Genomic DNA, 22,415 nt, shown 5'->3' on the forward strand with positions numbered 1-22,415 from the left:
GCCAAAAGCAACCATGGCTAAAATTTGCTGTGTGTCCTTCTAGTTGTTTTTCTTTGCGTTTACATTCACACACATGTATAGTTAGAATGTATATGATTTAGATTTCAGTGTAATGTTGCTTTCCAATGTTCCCTTCCATTTTATAGTATTTTTGAAGACCTTTCCATGTTCATATGACCATGTCTAGCTTACTCTTTCAATCTCTGTCTAATTATTTATGCAATAATTATATCTTTTCTCTATGGACATTTAAGCCTGCTCCAGTTTTTTGATGTTACTACTCTGTCTTTTCTTTTCTATCTTTTTTTTTTTTTTTTTTTTTTTTTTTTTTGAGACAGAGTCTCCCTCTGTCGCCCAGGATGGAGTGTAGTGGCGTGATCTCAGCTCACTGCAACCTCCGCCCTCTGGGTTCAAGGGGATTCTCCTGCCTCAGCCTCCCGAGTAGCTGGGACTACAGATGTATGCCACCATGCCCGGCTACTTTTTGTATTTTTAGTAGAGATGAGGTTTTACTATGTTGGCCAGCCTGGTCTTGAACTCCTGGTGTCAGGTGATCTGCCCGCCTGGGCCTCCCAAAGTGCTGGGATTACAAGCGTGAGCCGCTGTGTCCGGCTGCTACCCTGTGTTTTCTGCAGCAGGTTCGCATGTAAAGATATGTCTATGTAAGTACGTGTGCACATGCATAGTCTTACCCCACTACACCACTGGGCACCTAGCCCAGACATTGGGCTAGATGCTTACATATATTATTTCCTCAGAGGACCTAGATTAATATACATATTTCCAGGAATTATATCCATTTATTTATTTTTTTCTAGGGTGACCTTATTTTTTACCCTGTAGTCAGTGAAAGGTAAGCCTGTTTTTCTTGACTTAGTGCTGTAAACAGCCAAATGACAAAGTGACCGCCTTGCTGGCACAGCAGTGCTTGCCCACTGTGACATTTCCCCTCAGCTTCTTGATTTTTCTGCCCCAAAATGCAAATACTACAGGACTCCCATTAACTGATTGAGAGGCTAACGCGCAACTGCAACTCACCAGTCTTTCCTGTGCTGCTTCTCTTTCCTTCCCTACCTTTTTCCCTCTGTGTTCTTATTTCTATCCCTTCTCTTGGGCTTGATTTCCTATAAGTCATTAAATGCCTTAGAGTAACGTTTTCCAAGTTCTAGCAGCACATTTTCACTTGGCTGTGATGCCAGCACCTCAAGATAATCTTGTTGCAGAACTGAGTTTTACTTTTTATCATTTCTTTCACTTCTGATCCCAAACCAGAGTTGTCTTCTTTTCCTGTTTCTAATAGTGACACCAGGTTTATATTTTGGTGGTGCATTCAGAGGCTTCTTTCTGAAGTTGTATTGACGGATATCGTAGGGGTGTGTGAGAATGAGAGAAAGAGAACAAACAAGAGGAACACGGGATCCCAACACCTGACCCTGTCCTGGGACTTCCACTTCTGCAGAGGTCCTCAAACGAAGTTAATGGTCAGAGGACAAGGTTGTTCAAATGCTTTGCTTTATTACCTTAAGGCTTTGATGCTCTAGTCCTAATTCAGATTCCTGATGACCAGGGCTGGACAAAGTACAGAGCTCTTTTTGCCTGAGCTAAAATAAGTGAAGGCTGACAGCCAATGTAGGCAAAGAATTATCCACCCAAATCTAAGGTAAAAGTATCTTCTCTCCCCAGTGGTGGAGAGCCAGTTTAGGCCTTCTTAGGGCAGGCAGCTTCTGGCTCTTTTTTTCTGGAGACTACAAGAAAGTAACATCATAACAGCAGCTAGTTATTGGACACTTACCATGCACTGTACTTTTTTGCAGTTGAAACCCTTTTATTTTTATGTTATATAAGTAATGTATGTTCATTGTAGAAAAAAAAGAAAGTTCAAGTAAGCTAAAACACTAAAGAATGCCTATACGCTCACCAGCCAGAAATAATTGTTGCTGACTTTCTATACTACTTCATCCAGTTTTACAAAAACGAGTATTTTGTATACTGCCAATTCACTTAATACATTGTGAACATGTTTCTATGCTAGGAAATGCCAGTAAGCATGCTTTTATGCTATTGTTTATAAGACTGCAATAGCGTTCCATTGTATGGATGTGCCCTCATTTATTTTGTGCTAAATGCTTTACGTATATTATCAGTTAATCTTCACACTCAATGAAGTAGATATAAATACTATTATCTTACAAATGAGAAAATTGAGAGACAGAGATGTTAAGAAAATTGCTCAAAGACATGCAACTCATGGGTGGTGGAGCTAGAACTTGAGTCCAGGTCTCTCTGATTCTAAAGATAATAAATATTAATAATCTTGCCCAAAAGACATGATTTTCTTTCTTTTTTTTTTTTTTTGACAGAGTCTTGCTCTGTTGCCCAGGCTGGAGTGCAGTGGTATGACCTCAGCTCACTGCGGCCTCCGCCTCCCAGGTTCAAGCGATTCTCCTGCCTCAGCATCCTGAGTAGCTGGGATTACAGCACTGTGCCTGGCTAATTTTTTGTATTTTTAGTAGAGATGGGGTTTCATCATTTTGGACAGGCTGGTCTCAAACTCCTGACCTCAGGCGATCTGCCCACCTTGGTTTCCCAAAGTGCTGGGATTACAGGCGTGAGCCACTGCGCCTGGCCCAAAAGACATGATTTTCAAGAGAGGGATGGCCCCGATACCCAGCACTGTGGTCCAGTAGCATGGCCTGTGTGGTTGAAACTGACAATACAGAAGTAGGCTTGAGGGTGAGGAAACAGAGGCGAGCCTTCAATTCCCTTCAGGGTTTATTATTTTCTTGTGTTTAGCCTCATTACCAGTGGTGTGTAAAAAAAAAAAGAAAAAGAGTCATAACACCCCAACTAGTTCCTCTTTCTAAATGCCTCAGTGGTCAACAGAGTCTAAATGCTGCTCCGAGGCTGAATTATGTACAATGCAAAGTGGACGTTAGTTTAATGACACAGTTATTGCTGGTTGTGGTGTGAGCAGTTTCATTGGTGTAGTGATGCAGAACCCAAGTGGGTTAGAGTGAGCGAGGGGTAAGAGAGAGAAGAGTGTTAGAATTCTGGCAATGAAAACAAGCATAGAGAGCAGTGGTCAGAAGTGGGCATGGGTTTGAGGGAGAGGGAGGCTTTTTTTTTTGGACTGCTGCTGTTTTTAAGGATGAAAGAGACTTGTTTAACTGCCAGTTGCGCAGTATTGGTAGAGAAGAAGGCATTAGGTTGAAGATTGGAGAGTAGGATGGAGGCTCCTGGGAAGGCGGAGGAAGCTAGAATTGCCACCGAAGGGGCGGTGTACTTTTTCCATTGTTTGTGGAGAAGGAAGGGAAGTTTGTTTTGTGGCAGGAAGTTAAGGGGTTCTTTGCTTATATCTGGAGTTTTCTCTCTGAATAGATGATGAAGCCTTCTAAGGGTGGGGGTGGTTTGAAGTGGGGATTAGAAATTTTCACAACTTTTATGGGCTTTTTGATAAATGATTTGGACAGTGTGGGAGTGAGCTGACGTAAGGGAGTATGAAAAGGGTGCCTGGCAATGTTGGAGGGTCTGGTTGTAGAATGTATCGTGTCTGTCCGTGTGTTTGCTTGATTTTGTTTCTCCTCTAGCAGTGTGCTCACACACCCAGGTCTGGTAGAGCAAGTGGGTTTTTACGAGTTGGGTGAATGGGCAGTGGGGAGGGAACAACATTTAGATATTGCTGTAAGTGATTGAAGTTCTGGGCCATGGAATGGATGCTGAGTAAAGAAGGAAGGAAGTAAAGACATGAATGGATGGAATGTCAAGGAACTTTAGGTCCCAAGAGGCTGAGAAACCAAGGATGTTGGGAAGAGGAAGAGCCTGAAATATAGGGGATGCCGTTTAGAGGGAGATGTGTGGGTTTCTCCCTGGTGACGGTCTGGGAGAGGCTGTGGAATGGAAGGAAACATTGCTTGCTTAGAGGCTGGTGTTGTATGTATGAGCCACCTGGATCTCGAGGGCACTTAGGTTGTGGAAGGGCTTGGAAAGGAAGCCTGAGAGCCAGCTGCTTGAATCTTCAGGGCATCAGGAGAAATGGCAGAGCTGTCAGTGGATGACAGCTGTGCGGGAGAGATACAGGATGTATGTCACTGGATGGCACGAGCCTCAGAAGGGTTTTCACAGGGCGGTTGGGGAGTGGTGGTCAGGAGCTGTGTGGAACGAGGAGCATGTCAGCAGCAGCTCCTGGCCTTGGGGGCTGGGCGAGGCTTGTGGAATGCGAGCAGCTCACAGAGGGACCGATGGCAGGGAGGCCCGATTCTCAGGGAGAGCCAGGTTTCAGAATTTGAATGGGCAGAAGAACGACAAGACTTTATTAACTATGGCGTGGGTCTTCCAGAGAGCTTGGCAGAAAGATCTGAGAGGAACGAGATAAGTGGAAGTCCATGTTGGAAGAAAGGAAGGCAGAGGAGCGTGAGGATGAAAGGCTGGAAGCCTCTACTTGTCATTCTCAGGGCAGTGGGGTTTTGAGGCAGAATGGGACTAGCTGGTTTTTGTTTGATAAGGGAAGAGATCCCTTTGTTGGGAGATGGGGGTTGCCTAGAATTCTTAAGACCCAGCTGTGGCCTGGACAGATGGCACTTGTGATAAAGACCACGTCTCTCTGGAGTGACTCAATTGTAAATTTTGGATCAAATGGACGTTCTTCGGAACGGCCTTGGGCCACAGTTGTTGGGCATGTCAGCTCTTGGGGCATAAGGGGAGACCTTATGTGGTAGGGTGAGTGGGGCCCAGTAGGTGGAGTGCCCTGCTGGATGACCGATTAGACTGTCATTCTGTGCTGGGTCTTCTAAAATGTTGAACTTCTGAAGGAAAAAAAAATTTCCAGGGATGTCTGGAGATGACCAGGGACGTATCCACGTGGAGTGATGGTGTTACACTTCTAGCATAGCAAAAATGAGCCTTCTTGACTATGATTCTTGTGCTTGGTCACCTGTTCTTAGACCTGACTGTACATGTGCGCCCGTGACCTTGTGATCTTTGGACATTCTGCATTGTGGACACACGATGTGGAAGGACATAGAACAAAATGATGTAGTGGTTGTCTCTGATTATGGAATTGTGTGTGTATGCTTTTCGTTCTTTTAAAAAATTGTTTACTATAGGTATTCAAAAATAGAGATAAATGTATATTTTTAAATTTTCCTAAGTTAGATCCTGAATTTCATGGAGGAAAAATTTACTACAAACTTATCTTTGGAGTTTTACTGGTCTGCCTGTTTTATGAATACTGTGAGTCCTATAAATGTGTTTCTCTCCAGAAATTCCAAGTAGTGTCTCTGGCCCAGTTTCAGCTGGTGTGCAGTGTTTCATTGTGAGTGTGTTTTGCTAGCCTCATTCCTGGCTCTACTTTTTCCCTCTGTCCTTGTTTTTTCTTTCCTTTTCACCTACTTCTAATTTATGTCATTTGATTGTATTTTACCTATCACTATATCTTTTCTAGAACAAATTGTGGTAAAAATAAGTAAAATAAATACTGGGTCAGAGAGTGTGCAAGCATCCATTTATTTATTTATTTATTTTTTGAGACGGAGTCATCCTGTGTCACCCAGGCTGGAGTGTAGTGATGCGATCTCGGCTCACTGCAACCTCCGCCTCCCAGATTCAAGCAATTCTCCTGCCTCAGCCTCCCGAGTAGCTGGGACTACAGGCATGGACCACCGCACCCGGCTAATTTTTGTGTTTTTAGTAGAGATGGGGTTTCACCATGTTGGCCAGGCTGGTCTTGAACTCTTGACCAAGTGATCTGCCCACCTTGGCCTCCCAAAGTGCTGGGATTACAGGTGTGAGCCACCGTAGTGGACCTTGAGCATCCCTTTCATGATAACTTCTTACGTTATTGCTTTCCAAAGCATCAAGCAGGTTTTTCTTGCTGTATTAAGTTCCCAATGTCCTTAAAGGAGCTTTTAAAAAATGAGCATTGTGTGTGTGTGAGACTATAAAAATAGTGTATGAGAATGGTGTAAAATTTGGAAATAAGAGTGAATATAAAGAGGACAGTTCTCATTATTAGCTTTAAATTTTTCTTCTAAATTTTTTAATATCCAGATATTAATGTAAATGAAATCCTTATGTACAATTAATTTTGTATCCTCCCATTTTCCCTTAAAACAACAGGCCGGGCATGGTGCCTCATGCCTATAATCCCAGCACTTTGGGAAGCTGAGGTGGGTGGATCACTTGAGGTCAGGAATTTGAGACCAGCCTGGTCAACATGGTGAAACCCCGTCTCTACTAAAAATACAAAAATTATCTGGGTGTGGTGGCGCACGCCTGTAGTCCCAGCTACTTGGGAGGCTAAGGCAGGAGAATCACCTGAACCTGGGAGGTGTGGAGGTTGCAGTGAGCCGAGATCATGCCACTATACTCCAGCCTGGTCGACAGAGTGAGACTCCATCTCAAAAAAAACCCCCCAAAACAACAATGTCTTATACCCTGGTTGTGGTGGCTCATGCCTGTGATCCCATCACTTTGGAAGGCTGAGACAGAGGATTGCTTAAGGTCAGGAGTTAGAGACCAGCCTGGGCAACATAGTGAGACGCCTATCTCTACAAAAAAAACAAACAAAAAAACCACCAAAAATCAGCCAGATATGGTGGCATGTGCCTGTAGTCCAGGTACTTGGGAGGCTGAGGTGGGAGGATTGCCTGAGCCCAGGAGTTTGAGGCTACAGTGAGCTATGATTGTGCCACTGCCTTCCAGCCTGGGGGACTGTATTTAATTTTTTTTTTTTTTTTTGCGAGACAGTCTCACTCTGTCGCCCAGGCTGGAGTGCAGTGGCGCGATCTTGGCTCAGTGTAACCTCTGCCTCCCAGGTTCAAGCAGTTCTCCTGCCTCAGCCTCCAGAGTACAGTAGCTGAGACTACAGGTATGCACCACCATGCCTGGCTAATTTTTGTATTTTTAGTAGAGACAGGGTTTCACCATGTTGGCCAGGCTGGTCTTGAACTCCTGACTTCAAGTGATCCGCCTGCCTCGGCCTCCCGAAGTGTTGGGATTACAGGCATGAGCCACCACTCCTGGCTCTTATCTAAATTTAAAAAAAAAAAAAAAGTCTTACCAACAAAATTACTGACAGCCATAGAATAAATATGCCATAATTTCATTAATAGTTTTTAATTATTGAATATTTAGGTTGCTTTGATTCCTTGCTGATTTAAATAATATTGCAATGAAGATCATTATGCAAATATCCTTGCCACAGTTTAGACATTATTTTCCAATGGTAGATTCCTAGAAGTAGAAAAGCAGTGATTAGACATAACTAGAAAAGAAAATCATAGAGACTATAGGTGAATATTTTTATAAGCTTGCAGTGGGGATGGCCTTCTTACTGAAGACCCCAAAAGTAGCATAAAGGGCAAATATGGATGAAATCAACAATAAAACAATGGAAAGATTCTGTATCAGACAAACCATTTGGAAATTATGATAGGCAAATGGTAATAAAGAACTTACACAAATGAAAAAGACTTGACTCAATTTTTATTTTTATTTTTATTTATTTTTTGAGTTGAGGTCTTACTCTGTGGCTCACACTGGAGTGCAGTGGTGCAGTCTTGGCTAGCTGTAACCTCTGCCTCCCAGGCTCAAGCGATCCTCCCACCTCAGCGTCCTGAGTAGCAGGGACTACAGGTGCATGCCACCATGCCCGGCTAATTTTTGCATTTTTTGTAGAGACAGGGTTTTGCCATGTTGCTCAGGCTGGTCTTGAACTCCTGGACTCAAGCTATCTGCCTGCCTCGGCCTCCCAAAGTGCTAAGATTATAGGCATGAGCCACTGCGCCTGGCTGGACTTATAATTTTTAAAAAGACCCCTGATAAAAGAAGAAAAATACTTTTCTTCTTTTGGCCAATAAACATTTGAAAGGATGTTCAACCCCAATAGTAATTAAAGAAACAACTGTAAACAAAGATGATGTATTATTTTTCATTTATCAGTCCACCAAAGATAACTAGTTCCTGAGAATACGTGGTAAGAATATAAATTGCTATATTTCTGAAAGCAGTTTGTCAATTAAAAAGTATATGTACACTTTTGTCCAGCAATTCTATCTTTAGGAATTTATTTTAAGGGAATTACGAGGTGCTCAATGGTGTTTACAAAAGTATTGTTTATTGATGGAAAAATTGGAAACAACTTAAATGGGGATTTGGTTTAATTATCGTGTAACCATTCAGTGGAATACTATGTATGTGTTAAAATGACTGTACATCTGAACTTACTGCTGCAGAAAGATGTCCAAGATGTGCTAAAAGAGATACAGACAATGAGTAAATGAATGAATATGCGTAGAAAAATATGGAAACATATAAACCATGTTAATTGTGTTTTTCTGTATTTAGAGGGATTATGGCTGATCTTTTATTTTCTATTTATTTTTCTTGAAGTTTTAAAATAAGTATATAACCCGAATAAATAGAAGGAAAAAAAAAAAGCCTGTTCCCCAAAAGTGAAATTGGTTGTGGCAAAAATAAAACGTGTGTTCTATTGTGCTGTCTTTTGTAGTTACCAAAAATGATTTCAAATTAGAGTAGAAATATTACATAAACTGTAATTTATGAAATGGATCTGAAAAACATAAGAGAAATGATCAGTTAATAGTGTAACTTTTTTTTTTTTTTTTTGAGACAGGGTCTCTTGCTCTGTTTCCCAGGCTGGAGTGCAGTGGTGCAGTCTTGACTCACTGCAGCCTCCCCCTCTGGGGTTCAAGCAATTCTTATGCCTCAGCTGCCTGAGTAGCTGGGATTACAGGCACCCACCACCACAACTGGCTAATTTTTGTATTTTTAATAGAGACAGGGTTTCACCATGTTGGCCAGGCTGATCTTGAACTACCGACCCCAAATGATCAGCCCACCTCGGCCTCCCAAAGTGCTGGGATTACAGGTGTGAGCCACTGCGCCCAGCCAATAATCGTGTAACATTTAAGAAGGCAAAAAGTAGAGCCTTCCATCAGTTTGGTTTACAATGAAAACCAGTTGCTTTAATTTGTCACCTTTCAAAATATGTCTTTCATTAGCCCTTAATCATTGGCAAGTTCTCACATGGAGCCTATCGGGGGGAGATGGGAGGTCTTGAACTTCCCTTCCAACCTGCTTTTGTTTTTTTGAGACAAGGTCTCACTCTGTCGCCTAGGCTGAAGTGCAGTGGCACAGTCAGCTCACTGCAGTCGTCTCGACCTCCTGGGCTCAGACAATCCTCCTGCCTCAGCCTCTGAGTAGTAGGGACTGCAAGTATGCACTACCACACCTGGCTAATTTAAAACTTTTTTTTGCAGAGATGGGGTCTCGCTATGTTGCCCAGGCTGGTCTCAAACTCTAGGGCTCAAGCTAATCCTTCCTTCTTGGCCTCTTAAAGGGCTGGGATTACAGGCATGAGCCACCACGCCCTGCCCTAACTCTCTTCTTACTGTTGAACCTAGGGCTCAAGGAGGCTTAGTGACATGTTAGGGATCTGGTAGGGATGCAAGAACTGCATAGGCGCAGAGTCCTTCCTACTCCGCCTGTGCGGGTGGTGTGGGGATGGGAGTATCAGGCCACTTGTTCCCAATATTTCTGTCATGCTGTGCTTGAAAATTTGTCAACAATGACTTGCTCTCTGGATTTAAGTGTTGTCTTTTTTCCTCTCTCTCCAGTCCTACAATGCTAGTTCCTTTGGGAAAATCATCTGATAAGTCACAAATACCTACATTGAGTGAATTTCCCCACATCTTCACCCTTGCAAACACAGAGGAAGGTCGTGTTTCATAGGCATATGCTGGTGTGTGGGACTTGAAGAGGGGAAACAATGCAGTTAGTTGGGGGTCAGTCCAAGAATGAGTCCTTGAACTTCACCATTTTGCTAAGACAGTGAACACAGGTTTTGGGGAGGATGAAATCATAATTTTTGATGCTAGAGCTGTTCACAGCTTTTTCTTTGATGAATGACTCTCGTTCATGTGCTTAAAGATTTTCTTGGTGCTGTGAATTAAAACAGACTTTTGGCTTGAAAGAGTAAATTTATGAGATGTAGCTTGACCCATTTTTATCTTGTACTTTAATTTCTGAGAACCATGACAGTCATATAGTGTGTATCCTCATAGGGAAAAATGGCTTATGTGAGACACGGTGTAATTTGTGCCAGTAAATGAGTAAAAATCTTGTTTTGGTAAAAATCAACTCAATTTTATTTAACATTGATTTTCATTATTAAAGTGCTGCAATCACATTTCAGAAAACTTTAAAAATTGAGAAAAAGGGATGAGATTATTAATATTTTTCTGCAATGCAATGGCATTTTTGTATTATTTCTAGATTTTTTCTTATCTGTCTAAAATATAACAGTTCCAGGGTTGTGGTTTGGCAGAATGTGGCAAATTAAGCAAAACCTTTTCTATTTTCATCTAATCTGCCCCCGAAATGAGCAGTGATCTATTATCTTTACTTTTTGTTTATTTCCTCTTTGGCAAAACTTGTCAGCATATTTAGCAGAAGGTGGAGACAATTTCTTTTCACAGATTTGGATTTAGTAGCAATATCCTAAGTGGATTTTTTCTGCTAAAAGAAATTGTTAGAGTTAAGCTTGGAGGAAATGAATCAAATGTTTCTAAACAATTCTGGGGGATAGTTGAATTCTATTTCCTGACGGTAGGGAAAAAAAAAAAAACTGGCTTTTTTTTTTTTTTTTTTTTTTTTTTTTTTGAGACGGAGTCTCGCTCTGTCACCCAGGCTGGAGTGCAGTGGTGCAATCTCGGAAAACTGGCATTTTTATTCCAGCTCGTTGAATTTTTAACTGGGCTAAGTGTCCCAGACTGGTCTATTCTGTGTTGGTAAACTCTGCCATTTGGCTGTTGTGTTTGGTGGAAGGAAAATATGATCTTGCCTAGTTTGGTTATTCTAAGAGCTTTTTTCCTTCCCTTCAGCCAAGATATGCTATTCCCTTATGCTTATTTTTTTCCATTCTCTTCTTTGCAGAGTACTCGGGTGGAGTTTGACCTGCCAGAATATTCTGTTCGTCGAAGATACCAGGATTTTGACTGGTTGAGGAGCAAACTGGAAGAATCCCAGCCCACTCATCTCATTCCCGTAGGTAGTAAGTCACTACAGCTTGTTTCTCACTTGTCCTGTGTTGTCTTTCCTGAAGGGGTTCACTCAACTCTCATCCCTTAAGTTATACAGACTCACCCAGCAAACATATATAAAACATGTTAACGGACACTGTATACAATACTTCACCTATTAGGTTTTAGTTTCTGATTTGGTATATAGAAAGCCAGTTTTGCGGCTGGCTGGGCTTTCTTTAGCCACAGCGGCAGAAATCTAGCACAGAATCCATTGCCACAGTTTTTCATTTAAAAAACAAGAAACCACCTAACACTGTTTATTGAAGCAACGTGACATTTATCTACTCCAGCGCTTCCATCTGCACAGTTTTTAAAAAACAGAACCAGAGCAAAAGAAATTTAAATCTTTTTTTTTTTTTTTTTTTTGAGACAGAGTCGCACTCTCTTGCCCAGGCAGGTGCGCAATGGCATGATCGCAGCTCACTGCAACCTCCGACTCCCAGGTTCAAGTGGATCACCTGCCCCTACCAGGTTCAAGTGGATCACCTGCCCCAGCCTTCTGGGTAGCTGGGATTACAGGCGTATGCCACCACGCCCAGCTAGTTTTTGTATTTTTAGTAGAGATGGGGTTTTGCCATATTGGCCAGGCTGGTCTCGAACTCCTGATCTCAGGTGATCCACCGACCTCAGCCTCCCAAAGTGCCGGGATTACGGGTGTGAGCCACCGTGCCTGGCCTCAACATTTATATTGAGTACTTTTCTGACTACTTTTGTTAAAAGTAGAAATAATAACGGTTTGGACACCAGATGTTTCTTTGGGCCTTGGGGGCTTTAGAGCAGTTTGAGTCATAAAACTCCTCAGAGGGGCTGATTTATCTTTCAGCAAAAACCTTTGTTGAATGATAACTTCCTAGGACTACCAACTTTCTGTTACTACCGCATCTCCCAGCCTTTTTCCCCCCATGGTTAGAAGAGGCTGTGTATGTTGTGAATGCACTGGCAGTTTTCTCAGTTTTCAGGGTGAAAAGAGCCACGTTGCCAGTACTGTGATAGGAACGATGGCTCTCACCTGGGACTCAGTTCTTTCTCAGGGTATCTCCTTTTTCCTCCACATACTTTTCTGTTCTCCGAGCCTGAAGTTTTGCTTTTTCTGTCTTCTAACCACTTAAAAACATGCCTGAAGAGGAAACAGTAGTTTTTAAACAGTTGGGAATATTCCTTAAAATAGAATCTTAAGGTGGCAAAATAGGCAGTTAGTGAATAATTTTTAAAAAATAAACTGCATTTTAGAACATTATCAGAATTACAGAATTATTGTGAAGGTAGTAGAGAGAATTCTCAAGCCTCACATCCGGTATTAACATTTTATATTAGTGTGGCACTTTTGTCAAAATGAACCAGTCATTATGAAATAAACACCATTATTAACTAAAAGTCTTTTATTCCAAGTTCCTTTTTATTTTTCTTTCTTTCTTTTTTTTTTTTTTTTTTGAGATGAAGTTTACCTCTGTCACCCAGGCTGGAGTGCAGTGGCATGATCTTGGCTCACTGCAACCTCTGCCCCCGGAGTTCAAGCGATTCTTCTGCCTCAGCCTCCTGAGTAGCTGGGATTACAGGTGCACACCACCATGCCCAGCTAATTTTTGTATTTTTAGTGGAGATGAGATTTCAGCATGTTGGCCAGGCTGGTCTCAAACTCTTGATCTCAGGTAATCCTCCCACCTCGGCCTCCCAAAGTGCTGGGATTACAGGTGTGAGCCACCACGCCCGGCCCAAGTTCCTTTTTTCTGTTCCAGGATCCTACCCAGGATCCCACATTTTATTTAGCAGTCATGTCTCCTTAGGCTCTTCTTGGTTGTAACAGTTTGTCAGGCTTTCCCTTTTTTGGATGACCATGACTGTTTTGAGGAGTACTAGTCAGGAATTTTGTAGACTTGTCCCTCAGTTGACATTTGTCTGACGGCTTTCCCAATCGGGGTAATGTGTTTGGGGAGGAAACCACAGAGGCAAGCTGCCACCCTCATCACCTATCCAGGGCACGTGCTGTCAACAGTGTGCCTCACCATTGATGTGAACCTCCATCGCCTGACTTGAGGTAGTGCTGGTCAGCTTTCTTCACTGTACAATTACTCTTTCTCCCAGCCTTTTTGTACTGTACTCTTTGGAAGAAAGTCACTGTTTATTTATAGCCCACACCATGCATCAGGGAGCTGCCCTCCTGGCAGCTGGTGCCTGTGAGGTTGATACTGGAAGCGCAAAGGTAAGACAGTGACACCTGCTGGTTGAAACATAGTGTCTACTCTTCCATAGACACTAGAAGAGAATGGAAGAATTTCCGGAATGCCCAAAGTGGATCCAGAATATCTTTAAGTGTGGTTTCTGATGGTCTGGATAGAAGCAGTTGGTAGGAAGCTACTTTAGAAACAAGCAGAAACTTAATTTTTTTTCATAAATTCTTGGTACTTGCATATCTGGAGTGGAGATTTAATATGGGAGAGCCTCTCTGATTTAAGTATGAAAGTCAAACCAGCAACCAACCCCCCTCATCCGCTACAAAAAAATTTTATAGTAGCTTTGCTAGGAGGTGTCTGTCTGTTATTTAAGTGTCATCTTTGGGAGGAAGAGAGGATGGGATGAGAAGGTTATAAGGAAGACAAAGGACCCCTGCCTTGGGGAACTTATTATCAGTTGGAGACCCAGCAAACATGCAGAAATGTTCATTTCCCTTTTTAAGAAAGGATTTATTGAGATTATATAACATATAATTCACCCATTTAAAATGTACAATTCAAAGGCTTTTAGTATATTCATAAAATTGGACAACCATCAGCATTATCCATTTTCAAATCTTTTTATCACCCCAAAAAGAAACCTCACATCCCTTAGCTGTCACTTACAAACACTGTATATCTCCCAGCCCCTGGCAACCACTCATGTACTTTCTACAGATTTGCCTATTCTGGACATTTCATGTAAGTGAAATGATACACAACGTGATTTTTTTTGTTACTGGGTTTTTTCACTTAGCATATTTTCAAGGTTCATCCATGTTGTAGCATATATTAATATTTAATTCCTTTTTATTGCCATATAATATTCTAGTTTATGGATAATACCACATTTTGTCTATTCACCCTTGATGGACGTTTTGGTTGTTTCACCTTTTGGCTATTATGAGTAATGCTGCTGTGAGCGTTCATGTACAAGTTTTTCTGTGGACATGTTCCCATTTTGGGGGGGGTGTATTCTTAGGAATGTAATTGTTGAATCATACATAACTCTATAATTGGCCTTTTGAGGAACTGCCAGACTGTTTTCAAAAGTGATGACAGCAACTTACATTTCCACACGCGATGTATAGGAGTTTCTCCACATCTCCATCAATGCTGTTACTGTCTGTCTTTTGGATTGTAGCCATTCTACTGGATGTGCAGTGCTATCTCATTGTGATTTTAATTTGTATTTCCCTAATGATGTTGAGCATCTTTTCATGTGCTTTTGGGCATTTGCATATCTTCCTTGGAGAAATATCAATTAAGATCCATTGCCCATTTAAAAATTGGGGTGCCTTTTCATCCTTAAATTTTCATAGTTCTTTTTTCAAATTTTATATATATGTGTGTATATATATATGTGTGTTTGTATATATGTGTATATATGTGTGTGTGTATATGTGTGTATATATATGTGTGTGTATATAATTTTTTTTTTGAGGCGGAGTCTCGCCCTGTCACCCAGGCTGGAGTGCAGTGGTGTGATCTCGGCTCACTGCAAGCTCCGTCTCCCGGGTTCACGTCATTCTCCTGCCTCAGCCTCCCTAGTACCTGGGACTACAGGCGCCCGCCACCATGCCTGGCTAATTTTTTGTATTTTTAGTAGAAACAGGGTTTCACCATGTTAGCCAGGATGGTCTCCATCTCCTGACCTCGTGTTCCGCCTGACTTGGCTTCCCAAAGTGCTGGGATTACAGGCTTGAGCCACTGCGCCCAGCCCCATTATATGTATAAAATTTTAAGAGGCAGGAATGTTGTTTTGTCACCCAGGCTGGAGTGCAGTGGTATGATCACAGCTCACTGCAGCCTCGACCTCCCAGGATCAAGCGATTCTCCCACCTCAACCTCCTCAGGTATGTGTCACCATGCCTGGCTGGTTTTTAATTTTTTTTTGTAGAGACAAGGTGTCACTGTGTTGCCCAGGCTGGTCTTGAACTCTTGGGCTCAAGTGATCTTCCCACCTCAGCCTCTCGAATAGCTGGGACTACAGGCACCCTATGCCATCATGCCTGGCTAATTCTTTTTTTGGTAGAGACAGAGTCTTGCTATGTTGCCCAGGCTGGTCTCAAACTCCTGGCCTCAAGGGATCCTCCTGCCTTTGCCTTCTAAAGTGCTGGGATTACAGGCATGAGCCACCGCGCCTGGCCAAGAGTAACCATATGTTCTTAAAATGCCTTCTTGGAACCAGAAGTATGCTGGTTGTATATGTTTGTCATCTCATAACAGCAGTTCACTGTGTTTTTCTTCATTATGTAATAGTTGGAGCTGCCAGAAAGTCTTCATTATGACTTTTTCCCTCTGTTTTTTTTAAAGCTTTTTTGAGATATAATGGATATACAGAATAGCCTTGCACATATTTAATGCATACGATTCGATAGGCTTGTATGTACCCCTGATACCATCACCACAATCAAGGTAATAAACAGATCCATCACCTTCACAAGTTTTCTTTTGTCCCTTTGCTGTTTTGTTTTGTTTTTTTTTTTTGTAAGAACCTGTAACATAAGATGTACATAATGTGTAACATGAACATGTAACATAAGATCTCTCGTCTTATCACATTTTACAGCATGCAACACCATACAGTCATTCCCCCTTATTTGTGGTTTTGCTTTCCATGGTTTCAGTTACCTGTAGACCAAAAATATGACATGGAAAATTCCAAAAATAAACAGTTCATAAGTTTTACATTGTTTGCTGTTCTGAATAGTGTGATGAAATCTCATGCAGTCCCGCCTAGGACATAAATTATCTTTGTCCGGTGTATCCACGCTGTAGACATTGCCCACCTGTGAGTCCTTTAGTAGCCCTCTTGGTTATCAGGCTGGAGATCACAAGAAGAAGAATGAATACAGTACCATAAGATGTTTTGAGAGAGAAAGAGAAAGGCCAAATCCCCATAACACTTATTACAGAATATTGTTATAATTGTTCTGTTTTATTATTGTGAATCTCTTACTCTGCCTGATTTGCAAACTAAATTTTACTATAGGTATGTATAGGAAAAAACATATACATATATAGGTATGTATATACAGGTGGGAAGTTCACTTGAGCCCAAGAGTTCAAGACCAGCCTGGGCAACACAGTGACACCTTGTTTCTAAATTTTATTATAGGTGTGTATATATAGGAAAAACATAGTATATACAGGGTTCAATACCATCCATGGCTTCAGCATCTGCTGGGGGTCTTGGAATGTATCCCCCTAGGATAAGGGAGGATGACTGTATTGTTAACTATAGGTACCACTTTGTACAGCAGATATCTGGAACAACTTATTTATGTTTTATAACACTAGCTTTATATCCATTGAACAACTCCCCATTTCCCACTCTCCGTACCCCTGGCAACCACCATTCTATTTTCTGCTTCGGTATTTGTTCAGTGGGTTTGACACTTCTGCATTTCCTGGAGCACTAGTTACACAGCAGAGCAATTTCATGATTAGATGGGTGCCCGTATTAGATTTGGAAGATGAAGCAGATACATTGAATAAACACTTGAGTGTTTAATTTTCACTTGGAAATTTAATGTTTACCTCAGTTTTAAGGAAGAAAGCTTTCTGGAAGGATACATTTGTATTATGTCCAAGTTTTCTTTTGAGTAGTAGTAAACTCAGAGGAATTAATGAGAATAAATTTGTAATGCAACAATTTTTTTTTTAATATGAAATAATAAAAACTCCATTTTCTAGTTGGGTTCTTCTTTTTTCTACTGTTAAAAATATACCTGCGTTTAGCTTATTCAATGGATAAGTTAATAAGTATTGAAACATTGGTTCAACTTCCTAATGCTTTGCATTAAACTGGGCTTGGTGATTATTGTTTTTAATCTCTGCACTTGGTGACAAGCTTTTAATCTCTATGCTCCTTTATTTATTTGGTAGTAATTTTTGCTTAGAAGCAGTATTTTCTATTAGTTCGACAAGGGTAGGAGAAATAGGCCTCTGCCATGTAAATATTTAATGTGCACTAAATATTTGTTGAATTGCTTAGAAGAAGCAAGTCATTTGCTGACGAGGAAGTTGGACATTTCAGGATTCAGCAATTGAAAGATTTGTCTAGATTTCCTACCCAGAAATAGCAGCTTTCCATTGACAGTCTACAACAAATATGCTATTGTTTCAGATTATAAAACAGCTTTATAAACTAATATGGAATATAAATGACAGTGCTTTACTAAAGTACTAAGTACTATCTAATATCAGTATTTCAAGATTAAACCCTGAAATATTTAATGGATTATTGTAATACTTTGCAAATAGGATTTTTTTGCAGGATCCAACATATATATGTGTATATTCAGTTTCTAAAAATGTTTTCATTGTAGAAAATATTAACCATATTGAAGAGATTCAGTACGATGAGTCCCGTTGAAACTCCATCACTCAGTTTCAACATTTATCAGCTCATGGCCAATCTTGTTTCATCACTGTCCACTCCCTCACCCCTACACCCAGGTGTTTTTTTTTTTTTAAGTACCTTAAACAACAGAAATTTATTCTCTTACAGCTCTGGAGGTCAAAAGTCCAAAATCAGTTTTAGTGAGCTAATATCAACATATAGGCTAGGGCTGCATTCCACCAGAAGGCTCTAGGGGAGAATTTGTTTGCCTACCTTTTCTAGCTCTTGGGGCTGTCTGCATTCCTTGGCTCATGGCCTCTTTATTTTCAAAGCCAGCAGCATATCTGTCATCATCTCTGCTTCCACCATCACATCTCCTTTTCTTAAAAAAGGAAGTAAAATCCATATTACACATCACCATTTTAACCATTCTGAAGTGTCCAATTCAGTGACTTTTAGTACATTCACGGTGTTGTACGACCATCACCACCATTGAGTGTTGTACGACCATCACCACTATTTAATCCAGAACATTTTCATTACCCCCAAAAGAAACTTTGTACCCATTAAGGAACCACTCTCAATTCCCTCCTTTTCCCAGCCCGGCTATAATGAAGAATGCTGCTATCAACACTGGTGGTTGTCTAAGATTTTGTTTGAGCACTTATTTTCAGTTACCTTGGCTATACAACAAGAAGTGGAATTGCTGGAGCATATAGTAATTCTGTGTTTAATTTTTTGAGGAATTGTTCAAACGGTTTTCCACAGTGGCTTATAATTTTATATCTGCACTAGAAATGTATGAGGGCCCAATTTCTCCACGTATTTGCCAACATTTGCTATTTTACTTTAAAAATTCTAGTGGGTGTGAAGAAGTAGATCCCAAATGACTTGTTTTTTTGAGACAGGATCTCACTCTGTCACCCAGGCTGGAGTGCATTGGCATGACCATAGCTTACTGCAGCCTCCAACTCCTGGGTTCAAGCAATCCTCCCACCTCAGCCTCCACAGTAGCTGGGACTTCAGGCGTGCACCACCATGGCCAGCTAATTTTTTATTTTTTGTAGAGATGGGGTCTTGCTATGTTGCCCAAGCTGGTCTGGAGCTCCTAGCCTCAAGCAATCCTCCCAGCTTGACCTCCCAAAATGCTAGGATTATAGACATGAGCCACTGTGTCTGCTTCCCCCAATCGATTTTTTAAGACATTTTGGCCTAAACGTTATATAGACATTCTACCTGTAAGTCCACTCCCCTTTTTGCTTTTTGTTCTCGGTGCTTACAAATTAATAAAAATACTTGGCATTTGTTAGACATCTGCTGTGTGCCTGGAACTGTGTTGAGCTCTTTTCATTTACATGATGTGGTTTACAGACTATAGATGGACTTGATTTCACCTGCAACCCAGATTCCTATGTGTAAACAACCCAGACAGTAATAGAGGTGAGGCTGAGAGTAGGTGTGTCCCGTAAGGAATCTTGAAATAGCAAGAAATTTCTGAAGCTACATACATTTGGAAATGATAACGCTTATGACAGGAGGAAATTCTGCTTGCAGAAGGATTCTCTCTAGGGTTCCTTTAAATATCAAGTTTCCCCGATTGATGAAACATAAGTTCAATTTGCTAAATCTGAAGAATGGACCCCTATTGTAGAATGTCATCTTTATGTTAAATGAGGCACTCCTAACCACTTACTTGCGCCTCAGGCCATCCTCTCAAGTCTTATTCAGCAGAAGCAAATGAGAGTATCGTAACAGGACTCATGAAGTAAGAACAGGAAAATATCCACTGGATTTGGTAATTAGAAAGTCATTGGCACTCAATTTTAAAAGGGCCGTTTCTGCACTGGGTGGGGATAGGGCAGAGAAACCCAGCACTGAAGGCAGTATCACAGCTGGTTTTGCTTTGAGGGTTGGCAGAAGGCTGGGGGTTGAGAAATCAATGGGATACAGTGAAGTCGAGATAAGTGACTCCTTTCAAAAAGATTGAATGAGCCAGGAAGGACAAGGGAGAAGATATAAGGTCAAGGGGTGGTTGGATTCGTATTTTTTAGGAAGAAAAACCAACCATATTTTTATAGATTCTGGGAATAGAGCTGGATGAACAGGAGATGTTGAAGATACAGGGAAGAGATTAATGACAGGTGCACCCCAATGAACAAATGGGTCAAGGACACAGATGGAATGCTTAGCTTTAGGGGAGGAGGGGTTGTTTTCCACAGGGGCTAAGGAATGGAGGTGAGGGTGATGCCCAGTCAATGGGCTTCTGTGGAGGAAGCAAAATAGGAAATTTCCATCTGATGCTCTTACACCTGGTTCTCACTTCAGAAAGATAGTAATCTGCTTAGCACGAAAAGCTGGGGTATGAGAATGGCTGCCTAAAGGAACGGGGGAGAGAAGAACTGACCAGAATAAAGGAATTATCCTAAAGGACAGCCATATCCCATTAAGATAACTTCTCAGTGCTTTGGACTGGGCCAGCATCGGGCTGAGTGGCCCGTCTGTCTGATCCAGCACTGCATTTCGAATATTCTACTCAAGTGTAAGCTCTGCTGGGTGTCACACGTGGACATGTTATCCTTGTGTGGGTCTGTAATTTTATTCCTGACTCTATTCCCCTCTCTTCTTTCATTTACAAACCTTTCCACTGTGCCCTTTTTGGAACTCCTGCTCTGTCATAAAGAATCCCCCAGTATTCTTAACATCTTCTCTGAATATTCCCACCATGTCAAGGTTTAAATGAACACTGGATGTCCCTGAAGATTAGTAGTCCCCTGAAGCTGCTGCCAGTCTTACAACAAAGACACCCAAACTTGTGTGTGTTTACCCTGTGGTAGGAATCATTCAAAGCACTTTCAGCATATTAGCTAATTTAATCCTCATGACAACCCTGTGAAGTTGATGCTATTAGTTTTTACCTAGCACCAACTTCTTGAGGTACCAAGAAATGTATAGAACTTGACGGTAGGCAAACAGCTAGTAGGTGGCAAAGTCAAAAGATAAACCCAGGAAGCATGGCATCAGAATCTTTACTCTTGATAACTAAAACATACTTTCTGAAGCTCTTTCAAGTTGAGGGCACTGAATTCCCTCATACTCCAAATACTTCTTTTCCAGGGGGTGGGGTGTTGGTGTTACCAATTCCTAAATCTTTTCAAGGTTTTGTGTTCTAAATCTAGGTTTACTAGGCCTACTCCAAGTGGCCTAGTATTCCACTTTTTTGGGTTGGCTAAGTCCACTAATCCTTGTTGCTATGTCTTATTTCTGGTTTGTTTTTGTCCTTCAGGGTTTATAATTTTAAAAAATCCTCTTTATTGCCATATTATGGGGGTTTGAGGAGGTTGTGGAGTTAAATGCTTGTGTTTAATGTCTTACTTTGAACTTGAACTGCTAGGTTGGTTTAACATTAGAAAATATATTAATTTACCACTTACCGTATTAAAGGAAAAAGCATGTGATTGTCCTGATAGACCTGCTTGGCCAACGTTGTCTTGGTTTATTCCCTAAAGAGGCTTGCATTTTCTAAAGAGGCTGCATCTGCACGAGTGTTCACAGCAGCATTGTTAGTAGGGCTATAAAGCTGAAAACCATTCACATGATCATGCACACGTTCACAGGCAGGAGAGTAGGTGGACAATTTGTCACACAGTCAGTTATATAGTGCGTGACTATGGAACAGTAAAATTATTTTCCTGTAGCTAAACATACATCAATATGGATAAGTCGCAGAAAGACAATGTTGAATGACAAAAGCGAACTATACAGGTGTGTACTGCATAGTGACATTTCTGTCAATGGTGGATGGCATATAGATGGTGGTCCCATAAGATTATAATACTGTATTTTTACTGTACCTTTTCTACATTTAAATATGTTTAGGTACCCAAGTACTTGCCATTGTGTTACAATTGTCTACAGTAGTCAGCACAGTAACATGCTAGGAGCAATAGCCTATACCGTATCGCCTCGGTGTGTAGTAGCCGCACCATCTAGGTTTGTGTAGGTGCACTCTGTGATGTTCACACAATGATGAAATTGCCTGACAATGCATTTCTCAGAGTGTATCTCTGTCATTAAGTGACACATTAACTGTAATTTTATTTTTTATAAAGTTAAACAAGCTCAACGAACAGTACATGGTTTTAAAACTGAAACTTAGAGGGGAGCAATGACCAAAAAGTTGAGGATTGTTAATTCCTTCATGGGGGCAGGAATAAGCGGAGATCTGATCAGGGATCCGTTGACAGGGAACTTTGTCAATGGCAGTGTTCTCTCTGTCAAGTTGAGTGGTAGATTAATAAGTGCTGGTACTATTATTATGCTTTATGACTTTGAGGTATGTAATACGCTCTTTTATTGTGCTAAAAAACATAGCACCATTTTATAATCTACAATTCAGTGGCATCAAATACATTCACAATGTTGTGCATCTGTCACCACCTTCTGAAAAGTTTCAGAATCACCCTGGAAGGAAACCCTGTACCCATGAAGCAGTCACATCTCATTTCCCCCGATCTCTCCAGCCCCTGGCAACCACCATCTACTGTCTGTCTCTGTGGGTTTGCCTATTCTGGACATTTCACATGAATGGAATCATATATATGGACTTTTGTATCTGGCTGTTTTCATTTACCATAATGTTTCCAGGGTTTTTCCATGATGTAGCATGTTTTAGTACTTAGTTTTTATGACAAACTATTAGTCCATTGCATGGATATGCCGCATTTTGTTTGCCCATTCACATGTTGATGGACATTT

The 22,415-nt window shown here is 41.2% G+C and overlaps 1 protein-coding gene across 12 annotated transcripts in view, besides 3 other annotated features; it reads left to right on the forward strand.

Moving 5' to 3' along the window:
• Positions 1–22,415, forward strand: part of SNX30 (sorting nexin family member 30) — a 136,047-nt gene that overhangs the window by 57,029 nt on the left and 56,603 nt on the right. For 10 of the 12 annotated variants that reach the window (XR_007061307.1, XR_007061301.1, XR_007061302.1 and 7 more), the window contains exon 3: positions 10,954–11,064. Coding sequence is in view for 3 of the 12 variants with exons in the window: in XM_047423393.1 (XP_047279349.1) it covers positions 10,954–11,064 (111 nt within the window). In the remaining 9 variants the exon portion in view is untranslated. Of the gene's footprint in view, positions 1–10,953; positions 11,072–22,415 lie in introns of those variants that run through there. The other 2 variants (XR_007061308.1, XR_007061309.1) reach the window with 2 other exon arrangements.
• Positions 3,799–4,709: an enhancer, noted in NCBI's record as "H3K4me1 hESC enhancer chr9:115572830-115573740 (GRCh37/hg19 assembly coordinates)". NCBI's record gives its function as "activates a minimal SCP1, AML or CMV promoter by ChIP-STARR-seq in naive H9 embryonic stem cells {active_cell/tissue: H9 hESC(naive)}" and the evidence as "EXISTENCE:reporter gene assay evidence [ECO:0000049][PMID:30033119]".
• Positions 11,197–11,246: a silencer, noted in NCBI's record as "silent region_20196". NCBI's record gives its function as "represses an Ori minimal core promoter by ATAC-STARR-seq in GM12878 lymphoblastoid cells {active_cell/tissue: GM12878}" and the evidence as "EXISTENCE:reporter gene assay evidence [ECO:0000049][PMID:35858748]".
• Positions 13,037–13,266: an enhancer, noted in NCBI's record as "active region_28830". NCBI's record gives its function as "activates an Ori minimal core promoter by ATAC-STARR-seq in GM12878 lymphoblastoid cells {active_cell/tissue: GM12878}" and the evidence as "EXISTENCE:reporter gene assay evidence [ECO:0000049][PMID:35858748]".

This window comes from Homo sapiens, chromosome 9 (assembly GCF_000001405.40).
Source record: "Homo sapiens chromosome 9, GRCh38.p14 Primary Assembly".
In the NCBI taxonomy this organism is placed as follows: domain Eukaryota; kingdom Metazoa; phylum Chordata; class Mammalia; order Primates; family Hominidae; genus Homo; species Homo sapiens.